The 14,629-nt window shown below is 31.7% G+C and overlaps 1 long non-coding RNA gene across 2 annotated transcripts in view; it reads left to right on the top strand.

The window, feature by feature from the left end:
- Window positions 1-210: 210 nt before the first annotated feature.
- LOC105370234 (uncharacterized) overlaps window positions 211-14,629 on the top strand; it is a 75,553-nt gene continuing 61,134 nt past the window's right edge. Inside the window, exons 1-3 of one of the 2 annotated variants that reach the window (XR_942014.2) lie at window positions 211-339; window positions 7,137-7,332; window positions 14,243-14,383. This is a non-coding gene — a long non-coding RNA (uncharacterized LOC105370234). Of the gene's footprint in view, window positions 340-7,136; window positions 7,333-14,242; window positions 14,384-14,629 lie in introns of those variants that run through there. The other variant, XR_942013.2, reaches the window with a different exon arrangement.

Here is a 14,629-nt window from a genome sequence, read left to right as displayed (position 1 = left end):
TTGCCTATGCATCCATGCCTTTGATTTCTCACCTCTAAAATTATAATGAATTTTAAAATGATGCTATGGTCTCAATGTCTGTGTCCACCCAAAATTCATATGTTGAAACCTAATCACCAAGGTAATTAGAAGATGGAACCTTTGGGAGGTGATTAGGTCATGAGGGCTTTCTCTTCAAGAATGAGATAAGTGCCCCTGTAAAAGAGACCCCAGAGAGCTAGGTCACCCCTTCCACCATGTGAGGACACAGTTAAAAGGCACAGTCTATAAGAAAGCAGGTCCTCACTAGACACCAAATCTGCTGACACATTAATCTTGGACTTTCCAGCCTCCAGAACTGTGAGAAATAAATTTCTGTTATTTATTTTTCTTATTTTTTTTTTTTGAATTAGGTTCAGGAGGTATGTGTGCTAGGGCATTACATGCATAATGTGGGGATTGGGCTTCTAGTGGACCCATCACGCAAATATTGAACATTGTACCTAATAGGAAATTCTTCAACACTCACTTCCCTCCCACTATGCCCCATTTTGGAGTTCCTAGTGTCTTTTATCTTCATTATTATGACTCTATGTACCAATTGTGTAACAGTGAGAATATGTGATATTTGATCTGCTTCTGCTTTAGTTCACTTAGGATAATGGCCTACAGCTCTGTCCATGTTGCTGCAAAGGACATAATTGCATTCATTTCTTTTTACAACTGCTTAGTATTCAAGTAGTATATATACCTGATTTTCTTCATGCAGTCAGCTGTTGGTGGACCCTTAGATTATTTCTATGTCTTTGCTATTGTGAATAGTGCTGAGTGCAATGTCTTTTTATATAATGCTTTTTTTTTCCTTTGGATGGATACCCAGTAGTGAGATTGCTGGATGGACGCCATTTTCCATAGATGTCAAACTAATTTACATTCCCATTAACAGTGTATAAGTGTTTCCTTTTCTCCGCATCTGTGACAACATCTGTTATTTTTATTTGACTTTTTAATAATAGCTATTCTGATTGGTGTAAGATGATATCACAGTATGGTTTCAATTTATTTCTTTGATAATTACCGATGTGGAGCATTTTTTTCATGTGTTTGTTGGCTGCTTACATTTTTTTCTCTTGAGAAATATCTGTTCATATCTTTTGCCCAGTTTTTAATGAGGTTTTTTGTTTTTCTCTTGTTGAATTGTTTGAATTCGCTGTGGATTCAGGGTGTATATCAGAGGCCAATTTGCAAATATTTTGTCCCATTCTGTAGTTTGTTTGTTTACTCTGTTGATTGTTTATTTTTCTGTGCAAAAACTTTTTAGTTTAATTATGTATCATTTGTTTATTGTTGTTTTTGTTGTGCTTGCTTGTGGGACCTTTGTCATGAATTCTGCGCCTAGGCTGATGTCCAGAAGAGGTTTCCCAGGTTGTCTTCTGGAATTTTTATAGTTTCAGATTTTACGTTTAGGTCTTTAATCCATCTTGAGTTAATTTTTGCATATGGTGAAAGATAGGGGTCCAGTTTTGTTCTTCTGCATATTACTGGCCAGTTTTCCCAGCACCATTTGTTGACAATGCTGTCTTTTTCTTATAGTTTACTTTTGTTGACATCATCCCAGATCACATGGTTGTAGGTATGTGGCTTTATTTCTGTGTTCTCTATTCTTTCCACTGATCTATGTTTCTATATTTGTACCACTGCCATGCTATTTTAGTTACTATAGAATTGTAGTATAATTTGAGGTCAGAAAAAAATGATGCCTCCAGATTTTTTTTTTTTTTTTTTTGCTTAGGAATGCTTTGGCTATTTGGCCATTTTTAAATGGTTCCATCTGAACTTTAAAATTTTATTTTCTAATTCTGTGAAAAATGACATTGGTAATTTGGCAGGAATTGCACTGACTCTGCAAATTGCTTTGGGCAGTATAGTCATTTTAATGATATTGATTCTTCCAAATCATCAGCATGAGATGTTTTTCCATTGTTTGTGTCATGTCCAATTTCTTCTGTGGGTGTTTTCTCCTTGTAGTTCTCCTTGTAGAGATCTCTCACTTCCTTTGTCTTTTTTGTATCCTGAGACTTTACTGAAGTTTTGTGTCCTGAGACTTTACTGAGTTGCTTATCAAGACTAGGGATCACAGCTACTTAGTTTATAGTATTTTGTTATAACAGCATGGATGTACTAAGACAGGCAATAAGGATGTATAAGGCTTCTTCTGATTATGTCTCAAAAGTTATAGCTGGGTCCACCTACTTAACTGTTGTTAACCTGTTGTTGACTTTTCATTTCATTTTCTAGGGGTGAATGTGGATGCAATGTTATGTTTTATATGGATGTTCTAATTAATATTGCTATTCATTTCTTTATCTCATCACCTGTGTTTGTATGTCCATCTTCCTAAAAGGCTCTCTTGGTGGCCATATATATTTCTAAAATGATTTTACCCATTAAAACTGGGTTCATATACTCTGAAAAACATTTCCTAAACATTTATTAAAGTAAGTGTTCTTTCATAGTTTTCAAAGACCTTAATTACTGGTAATTTTACACTTATTTACACTTACCACGTGACTCCCTATTTCACCTAATGTTAGATTCCTGAGTGAAATTTATAGCAGAGGTCTTCTCTGTCAACTATTTCTAAAATATTTCCCACAATCACATTATTCTCAACACCATTACTTTGCTTTATTTTTATTCGTAACTTTTAACCTGATATTCTGTACACTTACTTTTTATTTTGTTTTATATCCTCTTCACTGCAATGTAAATGGCTTGAAAACAGAAATTTTACCTATCTTCATCATTCTACCAAGCACTAGCCACAAATTTTAAATATTTCTTAATAAATGAGTAAATTGTCAAATTGATTTAGTATGAATGAGTAAATAAATATAAGATGAAATATATAAACAATGTATTCCTGATAAAACATTGGGTATTTGTTACATACTACAAAACATTTCTGCTTTCAAATGGCTACAATGAGTTATGCTGTTAAACAAGTTTGTGGCAAGAGTTTCACAGTGTAAATAGAAAGAACTAGGCATTTTAAGAAGTGTACGATACAGAACATTCAGGTTCATGGAAACCACACCATTTGCCTTTATATCTCTGTCAGCCACTTCCAAATACATAAATCTTTTCTTCTACCTGCTGTGTGACCCACTAGCACATGCTATTCATTTTGCACTCCAGATGACATCCTGAAATTCAACATCTGGGAAGCATTTTACATGATGAGTAAAGTACTTGATTCTCCTTGGCACTATCGCCAAGAGTCACAATTTATGGAGCATGCCAAGATAAAGTCATGACCTTGTAAGCCTGAAGAGTCTTTTCGAGAACCACTATTTGCCTAATACATAAATGAAAATTACAAATAGGAAAAGTTCTTGATAATGACCCAGAAAAACTTTCATTCTCACATTATTGACCTTCCTGCTGTTTGTTTACTAATTTATTTATATATTTATTTATGTGTTTGTTGTAACTTGAGTTTTTGCTTGGGGATTTGAGAAATCATTATGTAGTTTCTATATAAGCCTCTGGTCTGAACCTGATAGCTTCAGGACATTATTTCTGATTTCTTAGATTTTAATTTGTCCATTGTTTTAGCCTCATTTTCTCCCGTGTGTTAGTGTTTTGGGAGAGATATTTCTATTTTCTACCAAGCTTGAGAAAAATACATTTCTTACAAGGATAGCCCCACACACTAACCGTCCTGTGATTATATACATGTTACTTATCTGAGGCTCAGTTTCTCCAACCACAAAAATAGCCTAGGAGAATTTAAATATGCAATAATATTTAAAGAGGTAATATTCACAATTATTCTATAACATTCCTTGCCTATATCTTACAAATACTGCATACCAATCAAGCACATCATAAGGCAAAACAATCCTCAAAGATAAAAGAAACAAAGTAAATATACTTTGTATAATAAATAATAAAAATATAATAATATTCTAAAGATATTCTAAAATATCAATGGAAAATTCACTTGGCTCTAAAAATAAACACAAAATTTAAAACTTCCATCCACTTTTGCCATTTCTTTCTTATTTTAATACAGGACAATTTTAACTCCATTTGCAATAACATGAGGCTAAAGGAATATCCTTTCCTTACTCAAAATTAAAATAATTACCTTAAACTTGGAAAATTAAAAGTGAATCCTACTACAACATTTCCTTAAAGATTAGGATAAATATAAAATACAAACATTTGCATTGGTTTTATTTGATTAAAATGTAAAGACATTTTATTTTACAACATGTCTCACTCCTATATTGTAATATATTTTTACATGTAAATTGTTGAAAATATGTATTAAGTACATTTGAGACAGAATTAAAATACATAATCTCTGGAAATTTACAAATAAAAATATGCTTTCTTTTATAATAGAATAATTTAAAGCATTTAATAAAAGTATCCTTTCAGACAGTCTAAAATAAAACATATGGTAATTAGTAATCTGCAAATCATTATACTACTTAAAATAATTCTTATAAAACTTCCCAAAATTAGACCAAGCTCATTTGTCATTATATGTTAATCTAATAGTCACATTATATTGGATTTCCTGCAATGAAATGTTCCATGTAGCCATCAATCAAGGAAGAGCTAGAAACCTCTAGAGGTTCTTTCTTGATGTTGAAGCAATTTGCATCATAAAAAGTGTCACCTTCTCTTTCTCTGTGACATTTTTCCTGATCTCTAGGGTGACAGTTTCTCCAGCAGCACATTGATTCTCTTTTACACTCCCAATAACATAGTGTTTAAAATGGATATGTACAAATATGTACCATAAATGCTACATTGCACAGTTGTTAAACAATCTGGCTGTATTTTAAAAATCTGTATATTTGTCAAATGATCATTATGGCTTTAAAGTTTCCTCAGCTTGACTAAACTTTGGTCAGTCTTCTTATTGACTCTAGACCCTAAAGCTACCTTTGCTTAGAGCAATTTCTTTAGAGAACTTATAATAGAAGATTCTTTCTCTGCCCATTGAAGATATAAATCTTCTCCCAATGTCTTGACAGTTTTACAGTCTAGAAATGCCTTTTTCAAAGACCTGGTAGTCATTATTTGAAGTGTAATTATCAAGGAGGATAAAGACCCTGTCTCCCAGTCTCTATGGGAAGGTAGAAGCTTGACATCACTAAGTACCAGTCAGCAAATGCAGATGCCCTAACCACATTGACCAGCCACCCCTTACCCTCTCAGTGTCCTCCATTCCTTGTCTACTAGCCCACCTCAGTGCTTAAAACTTCCCCCCTTTTGTTTCAGTGGGTTTAGGTTCTCTCTCTCTCATTGTAATAGTTTTGAATGAAGTTTTCCTTGCTTCTTAACTCCATCCAGTGTGCAGTTTTTCCCTGACACAGGCCTAAATATAGTGTTATCCGAAAGAAAGAATTTACTTTTATTTGCCTCCTTAAAATATTTTTTATTTAACAAAATTATGGATATCAAGTGCAATGACAAGGGAAACTGCAAATCAGGTAGCAAGTGATAAATTACTTAGCATATCCAGGATAATTGGAACTGAAGCCATCATCAAAGAAAATAAATAGCAAAGAAATTCATTATGATAAATCTGAAAGTCCTCAGAGTCTAGAGATGCACTATACCCTAGAAAGTAGTACAGTGGTTTACACCACAAGGTTTGTTTGTAAAGGAAAATCACCAGCCTTTATTAACTTAACAAACTCTTAAAGTTAATTTTCTAGAAAATTACAAATAAATAACTGGAGAGAATTTTCGACTGTAAGATGTAAAATATTGGTCTAGCTAAGAGTGTTATCCTGAAACCCGGAAGATAAAGTAATCATCTATATAATTAACTACAACAAAATTAATAAGTAGAAAATTTAAGTTTTTACTAGTAGTAGTTAATATCTATTTTTTTAAAAACATTACTTCCCATTTTAGACAATGCATATATTTAAATGTAATTCTATTGTTATTTCTCCCTAAATGGTTACAACAACTCCTCATAAGGAATGACCTAAAAATAACCAGGTAATATAAACCATTTAAGGTTAAGACAATGTATCACAATGATATTATATAGTAGTATTGATTTGTTGTGACTCTAGATCTTCTACACTTCAATTACTGTAAAGTTGTATCATCAGGTTTTAAATATTTTGCATGAGAGGTGTTGATAATAAGCACTGGAGTGTTTCTAAATGTCTCTAAATGAATAGATTTTCTTCTTTCTATTTCACTCTTTAAAAAACAATTTAAATAAATCAGTGTTAAAGTAAGTTACTAGTTTTTTAAATCATTTTAAAAATGAAGCTGGACATTTTACAATAGATTTTTGATTACATGAATTGTTTTTTGGCCAAAGGAATCATTGATATAAGTTTTGATCAAAGCAACATACAATTTCAGTATTATAACTAAAAACAAAAATCCTATTTATGGCAACAGTATGAAAAATGAGTGTATTAAAACAAATTTAATGTTACCAATAACAGGGTTTTAGCTTAATCCATATATCAAGGTTCTATCTGTCCCACATCATTTTTTAAAAAATTTTATTCAATCTACTTAATATAGAGATATACAGTGATGACTAATTTACTTTCTATTTGTATATCTTTGCTTTGCTGCTGGTCCCACACGTATAATTAATTGTCAGACATAAAACAGCTAGATATACATCTACAGCCAAATGAATTTTAGTTTTCAGGTACTCATTTTTGTACTGTAAAAGAGTAGGCAGATGGAAGACGCAATGAAGATGTGTCTCTCAACTCTTTGAGACATTTTAAGCTTATAAACATGAGGATAACTTGTGAAATTTCATACACTAATTCAGTTTCATGCTCAGTGTCCAGTAAATTAATACACAATAATTTGTCCTGCTTTACTGTACATTCTACTTTTTCATTCAGCAGATGTGCACAAAAATAATGTTATAATTATTTTTACATTTGAAGTAGTATATATTTATATTTCAAACTTTGACTTAAAATGTCATAAACTATTGATAAATTAGAATAGGACTTTATATTTACTATAAGATTATGACACTGTAATAGCAAAGTAAACATTTCTCAAGTAAATAAATAAATTCAGCAGTAAATGACTCTAAATCACATTAGGTAACCAATGCATTATTTTTCCCAATATAGATGTCACTTATAAAATCAAATCCCTTGAGCTCCTCTTAACCAGTTGGCTATACTTAAAAGGAAACAGACAGCCAATTATCCATTCAAAAATGATATTTTAAATTATCCATTCAAATTTCTGCTGCCTAACCATTAACCGAAAGACTCATAACCACGAGTATGGCTCTGGAGTCAAGTTGTATGAATTACAATCATGGTAAGTCACTTCTTTTCATGTGAACTTGGGAATTTTTGTTAAATTTTATACAGTTTATATTTATCTCTCTCTCTTTTTTTTTTAACATGGAGAGTAATTATACTTGCTAATTAATAGGAGGTACTTTAAAAATAGGCACAATTATGGGGTTATGTGAGAGGTACACAAGGGCCGGAGCTCGCAAAGGTCAAAGTTGAAACAATTTGAGCAACAAAATAAAATATTATTGAATAAGAATATAATGTGTAAAATGAATATCTTTGAGTCTTTGCTCATATAAATAATTGAATAAATAAATAAATGTAAAGAATAAACAAATTTCCAGCTCAGAAGATCTTAAATAATTTGTGCAAATACTCTGCTTTCAAGGAGGTGGAGTACAACTTCTCACTTAAAAAACATTATGTACAACAAATAGTTGTACATATTTATGGGATATTTTGTGATATTTTGATCCATGTGATATATTGATACAAACCTACAATGTGTAGTAATGAAATCTGAGTAGTTATGATACCCATCACCTTAAACATTTGTCATTTCTTTGTGTTGGGAACATTCCAAATCTACTTTTCTAGATATTTTAAAATATATAATAAAATATGTTAACTATAGTCACACTACTATGCTATCAAACATTAGAAATTATTTCTTTTTCCTAACTGCATTTTTGTACCCATTATCCATCCTCTTTTTATTACCCATCTCCCCTACTCTTCCTAGCCTCTGGTAACCACCATTCTATTTAAATACCTTCATGAGACACATTAATTCCCACATATAAGTGAGAACATATGATATTTGTGTTTCTGTGCCTGGCTTCTTTTTCTTAATGTAATGTTTTCCAGTTGCATTCATGTTGCCACAAATGAAAATATTTCATTCTTTTTTGAGCTAAGTAATTTTCCATTGTCTATATATTCTACATTTTCTTTATCCATTCTTCTGTTGATAGACATTTAAGTGGATGCCATATTTTGGCTGTTGTGAACAGTGCTGCAATAAACATGAGGATGCAAATATCTCTTCAATATACTGATTTTCCTTCTTTTGGATAGATTCCCAGAGGTGGGATTACTAAATCATATGGTAGTTCTATTTTTACCTTCTTGAGGAACCTCTATACCATTTTTCATAGTGGCTGTACTAATTGGTATACATGTACACTGTTGGTGGGACCGTAAATTGGTACAACTGCCTACTCTTTAAGCATGGGTTGTGCATAATAACCTTCTTCCAAAATGTATAGAATGGAAAGAAGGAAAAAAAATAGTAATCACAAAAATATTAAATATTTGATGCAATGGATGCGTTAATTATCCTAATTTAATTTTTCCACCTTGTATTAGAAAATAAGAACATCACTTTTCACCTTATAAATACATAAAATTATAATTTATCAATATGTAGTAAAAACGTAACTTTTCAGAGGAGAAATCGGATAACGGACCCCACCTAAGTGATTAAAGTTAACATTAAGTGTAATAATTCATATTGTTAGTATATACGCCTTCATGAAAGGCACTTTCCTTTTGTGGTCTTTTCCCCAAAATACAAAAACTCTTGTCTGATCATGAGAAAAACATCAGACGAATCCCACTGAGAGATATTGTAGAAAATACCTGACCAGTATTTCTCAAAACTCCTAAGCCATCCAAAAACAATGTCTGAAAAACAGTCACAACCAAGAGGAGCCTAAAGACAGAATAACTGCATGTAATATAGTATCCTGCATAAGCTCCTAGAACAACAGCAACTAAAAGACATTAGGTAAAAATTAAGAAAGTCTGAATGAAGTACGGATTTTTCTTAATAATAATGCACCAATATTGATTCAGTAATTGTAAAAAATATGCTATTCTAAAGTAAGCTCTCAATAGGTTAGTGCAAAAGGAATTGTGATTTTGCACCATGAATTTAAAATTATTATAACTAGACTCAAACACATCTTTATTAATCAAAATAGGAACCATTACAATCAACACATTTTTGCCAATGAGAAATAACTTTGTGCATTCCTGTAGTGTAAAAGTCAATGCTTTGGGATTCAACAAACTCTTGGAAAGCATTTTTTTTTTTTTTTTTTTTTTTTTTGCATCCTGCTGGTGTGGAAGCATTTTCCTGGCAAGTTATTGAGATGCTTTAAGAAATGGTAGTAAGTTGACGATAGGTCAGGAGAATATGGCAGATGAGGCGAAATTTCATAGTCCAATTTGTTCAACTTTTGAAGCGTTTTTTGTGCGAGATGCAGTTGGGTGTTGTCATGGAGAAGAATTGGGCCCTTTCTAACCAAAGCTGGCTGCAGGCATTGCAGTTTTTGGTACATTTCCTCGATTTGCTGAGCATACTTCTCAGATGTAATGGTTTCGCCAAGATTCAGAAACCTCTAGTGGATCAGACCATCAGCAGACCACCAAACAGTGACCATCACCATTTTTTGGTGCAAGTTTGGCCTTGGGAAATGCTTTAGAGCTTCTTCTTGGGCCACTCACTGAGCTAGTCATCACTGGTTGTCGTATAAAATCCACTTTTTATCTCATGTCACAGTCAGATAGAGAAATGGTTCATCGTTGTTGCTTAGAATAAGAGAAGATGACACTTCAAAAACTGTGATTTTTTTTTTTTGATATTCAGTCAGCTCATGAGGCATGCACTTATCAAGCTTTTTCACCTTTCCAATTTGCTTTAAATGCCAAAAGATCATAGAATGGTCTATGTTGAGTTCCTCAATAACCTCTCGTGTAGTTGTAAGAGGATCAGCTTCCAGGATTGCTCTCAATTAGTCATTGTCAACTTCCAATGGCCGACCACTATGCTCCTCATCTTCAAGGCTCTCCTCTCCTTTACAAAACTCCCTGAACCACCACTGCAGCGTACGTTCATTAGCAGGTTCCTGGGCCAAAGGCATTGTTGACATTGTAAGTTGTCTCTGCTGCTTTAATAAAGACCCATTTTGAATTGAAATAAAAAAATCACTTGAATTTGCTTTTTGTCTAACATTATTTCCATAGTCTAAAATAAACAGCAAATAATACACCATTAGCAAAAAACATAAAGCAAGAATTGCTCATTAAATGATGTATAAAAAAACCACATTTATTTAAGAATGTATTCCAATATCAAACATTAAATTCCAACAATGCAAAAACTGCAATTACTTTTGCACTCACCTAGTAACAGAGGAAACTGGTTGTTGGGTGTAAGGAAATTCTTTTTACTATCTTCATATTCTTAATGTTTATCTAAAACTTCTAGAATCAAATGATTAATTTAAAAACATTTACTGACTAAAAACAAGTGTTATAAACATCTGAGACATTATTTGGCAAGCGTGTAAAAACATATACAAGAATATACATTGTTTTCAATAGTGACAAATTGAGAAAAATTTAAATGCATATTAATTAATAATCACTTAGATAATTTAGAAATTGGCCAATAACTTAACACCATAGATAAATTACCTATGTAGATTTATATTTATTGACCAAAAAATATGGTCACAATATATTGTTTAAAGAGTAAAAATGTCAGATTAAAGAATAACAATAATAGGATGATAACTATGTTGATTTATTTAAAAAATGTACATGTATAGGCAGATCTGAAAGGTTGTAAACAAATACAATAGCTCTTTATGAATTATGAAATGATGGTGTTTTTTCTTTTTTTTGTATTAAGCAAATCTCCTGCAATAAGCACATAAACTTTTTAAAAAATACATATTTTACATAAAAATTTAAAAAAAGACTTCCAAAATTTGTAACAATGGTTCCCTGAAAGTTAAATAGAACTTCATCAAGCAACCTTGAAGCAAAAAGGAGCTCCAGAGAGTGGATCTTGTATGCAAAATATAAACACATAAGATCATGTCATATGCAAAAAAAAAACCAAAACTATGTTTATATATTTTTGTTTGTTTGCATAAAGAAGCTTATGACTATGGTTTTTTCCTCATTTCATACATCAATGATATCGCTGTACTTAAGGAAATAGTGTTGAAATACGTAGTTATGAAAACCCCAAAATCATAAATCTAATGTGCAATGAAATGTAAATCTAAGGTTTTATATTGTTCATCATTGTGGCTAAATTTTTCTTTTAACTTAGAAGAAAATGTATTTCTGTGATACAGTAGTTGGGTTTTTTTCAAACACAAAAATTGTAATAAATATGGCAAAAATAAGAATTCTCTCTAATATAACTATCTCAGTTCTGCTATATTTAAAATGATAATTTGAAGAGTATTTAATATTTAATACAGATTACTATTCATATAGATTTATGGAACTCATAGAGTAAATTATTAAATCACTTAAAATTAAATCACTTCATAAGGACATGTGGAAGAAATTGAAATGTAAAAGACATAGTTCTTATTTCTAAAAGACTTCAGCCAATAAAAGTATATTAAAAAATATGTTGAGACCAAGCATAGTGGCTCATGCCTATAATTCCATTACTTTGGGAGGCCAAGGTGAGTGGATTGCTTGAAGCCAGGAGTTAGAGACCAGCCTGGGCAACATAGTGAGACCCTGTCTCTACAAAAGAATTAAAAAACCAAGAAAAAAAGTAAAAGAAATTACCTGGGTATGGTGGCATGTACCTATAGTCCTAGCTGCTTGGGAAGTTGAGATGGGAGGATTGCTTGAGCCTAGACGTCTGAGGTTACAATGAGCTATGATTGTGTTACTTCACTCCAGCCTGGGTGACAGAGTGAGAGATCCTGTCTCAAAAAAAAAAAAAAAAAAAAAAAAAAAAAAAAAAAAAAAAAAAAAAAAAAGGTCAAATTAGAATTAAACTTAGAAGGTAAAGCTTAAAGGAAAGGCAATAAAAAATGGTAAATAACTGCATAAATAAAATATTTTCCCACTTAAGTTAATTAAAATAAATTTCACTTGGAATAAAACTAATACCAAATAGAACAATAAATGCAAAATATAATGAGAACATTTTAGTTCTACATTGGTACAATGTTAACTAAATAGAATGTGAAAGTGTAGTTTAGTATAGTTTAATTTATACAGTGACTAAGAAAAGAAAAATGATGCAATGAAATATAACCAAGAAGTCAATACATAAATGTGAGTATTCAAATAATTCTACAGCAGGCAGGAATAGGGAGGAGAGCAACAACAACAAACAGGTGGTACAAACAAAAATAAATAATAAAATGCTAGATTTGAATTCTAAATAAATACATCTAAAGTAATTGGCCTATATAAACAAAATTTAAAAGGGAAATTTCAGATTAAAATAAATAAAATGTGTTCCAAATACATACTGGATACAAAAAGAAATGAATACATTGTGATGTCAACAAGTTAAAAGTAAAAGAAAATAGAAAAATACAGGCCTGCAAAAGGAAAATGAAGTGGCCAATTTAATACTTGACAAATTAGACTTTAAATCAGAGAAAATTACCAGTGATCAGGTAGTTGTTATTGTTCTTTTTTATTTTTTATTTTTTTATTTTGTTTTTCAGATTTCTAAAAAGAGGCAACTTTCTTCTGGATTCTGTAGGTCTCAACAGTCAGCCATTGGCTTGTTGTTAGTACTTTGATTTATTTTTTCTTACCTTGTGTGTGTATGTACACTATCTGACTTGAGGTTTACTAAATTCTTGTATAGGTGGACTAAAGTCTTTTACTAGTTTTTAACAAGTTAAGCTATTATAAACCTTCTAAAATTGTTTTTGTATTATTTTCTCTTGTTTCTCCACCTGAGACAACACATACATATGTTGTAACTTTAAACTGTGTCTCAGATCTTCTTTATTCTCTGGTATCTTCTATTCATTCTTTTGTGAATGTTATGCATTTACTTTGCTTCAAGTTGTCAACTCTTTTCTTCTATTTTCAGTCTCCACTTAAGCCAAATCAGTACCTTATTATTTTCAGATACTGTGATTTTCAGTATGAGAATATTCTTTTTACTTTAATACATTGCTGCTTTTTTAATATACACCATTATTTCTTCCATTTTTCTTGATGTATTTATAATAATTATTTTATAATTGGGTAGGGTATGCTAGTTCCTACAGATGTATCATTTGGAAGTCAGCTTCTTTTTTCTCTCTTGATATCACTCATACATTCATGTCCCTTTTTGTCTGCCATGAAATTATATGCTGTAAATTTGTTTATAAAAATGTGGATCCAGAATTTGATATAATTTCACCAGGGAAAATTCACTCTTTGCTCAATCAGGAAGACACTATAAAAACCTGATCATCTGAAGCCAATCAGCTGATTGTTTCAGCTAAATCCAGTTTACCTCTGATTTCAAAATCCTGATAAAAAAATAAATTGTCACATGTATGCTGCAGGTTTTGTTACCTAATGATTTTTTCTTGCCTAAAATGTCATGTAACCATGGGAGATTTCACTTCACCTCCTCAGCCCTTAGCAAATATCCAATGGGAATAATTCCCTATGCATTTGGGGATGTTCTAGATTCCAGTCTCTCAGGCAAGGTTACCTGACTGACCAAAGGTCTGTTGGTTTCTCCTGCCACTGCATCCCTCTACCTGTGTTAAACCTATTCTTCGCCTTGTACTCAGACTCAACAATTTTCCCTGGAGAGTGAGGGTGGCAATGTCTGATGATCTTATGTCACCTAGATAGTACCGTTCGTTCCTCTGGATTTTTTATTTCAACTTGTATTTTAGAGTCAAAGGGTACACATGATGGTTTGTTGCATAAGTATATCACATGATGCTGAAGTTTGGAGTATGAATTAATCTGTCACCCAGATACTGAGAACAAATACCGCATGGTCATTTAGACAGACACGGAAAAAACACTTTCCATAAAATCCAGCATCCCTTCATGATAACAAAAAAATCCCAAAAAACTAAGCATTGAAAAAATATAACTCAAAATAATGATTCATCTATGAAAATCCACAGGCAACATCATACTGAACAGGCAAACTCTGGAACCATTCCTTTTGAGAACTGGAACAAGACAAGTATGCGCACTCACACCACTCCTATTCAACATGCTGGAAGTCCTAGCCAGAGCAATCAGACAAGAGAAAGAAATAAAAGGTATCCAAACAGGAAAAGAAGAAGTCAAACTATCTCTAGTCTCTGGAATTTTAATTTAACTAAACTTATTTGTTTAATGAGTATCTGATATACTTGAAAATATGATTTATTCAGGTTATTCTAGTTGTTTCAATCTCTACCATATTGTAACTAGATTCAGAGGCCCTATAACTGCTTTCAAAATTCTTCAATATCTCACTATAGTTTAGAATTTTTTGGTAAAAACTACTCTTTTGATTATCAAAC

The sequence above is a fragment of the Homo sapiens genome, chromosome 13 (assembly GCF_000001405.40).
Source record: "Homo sapiens chromosome 13, GRCh38.p14 Primary Assembly".
Lineage (NCBI taxonomy): Eukaryota > Metazoa > Chordata > Mammalia > Primates > Hominidae > Homo > Homo sapiens.
The sequence above is the reverse complement of the archived record's forward strand: the minus strand, read 5'-3'. Positions and strand labels throughout refer to the sequence as shown.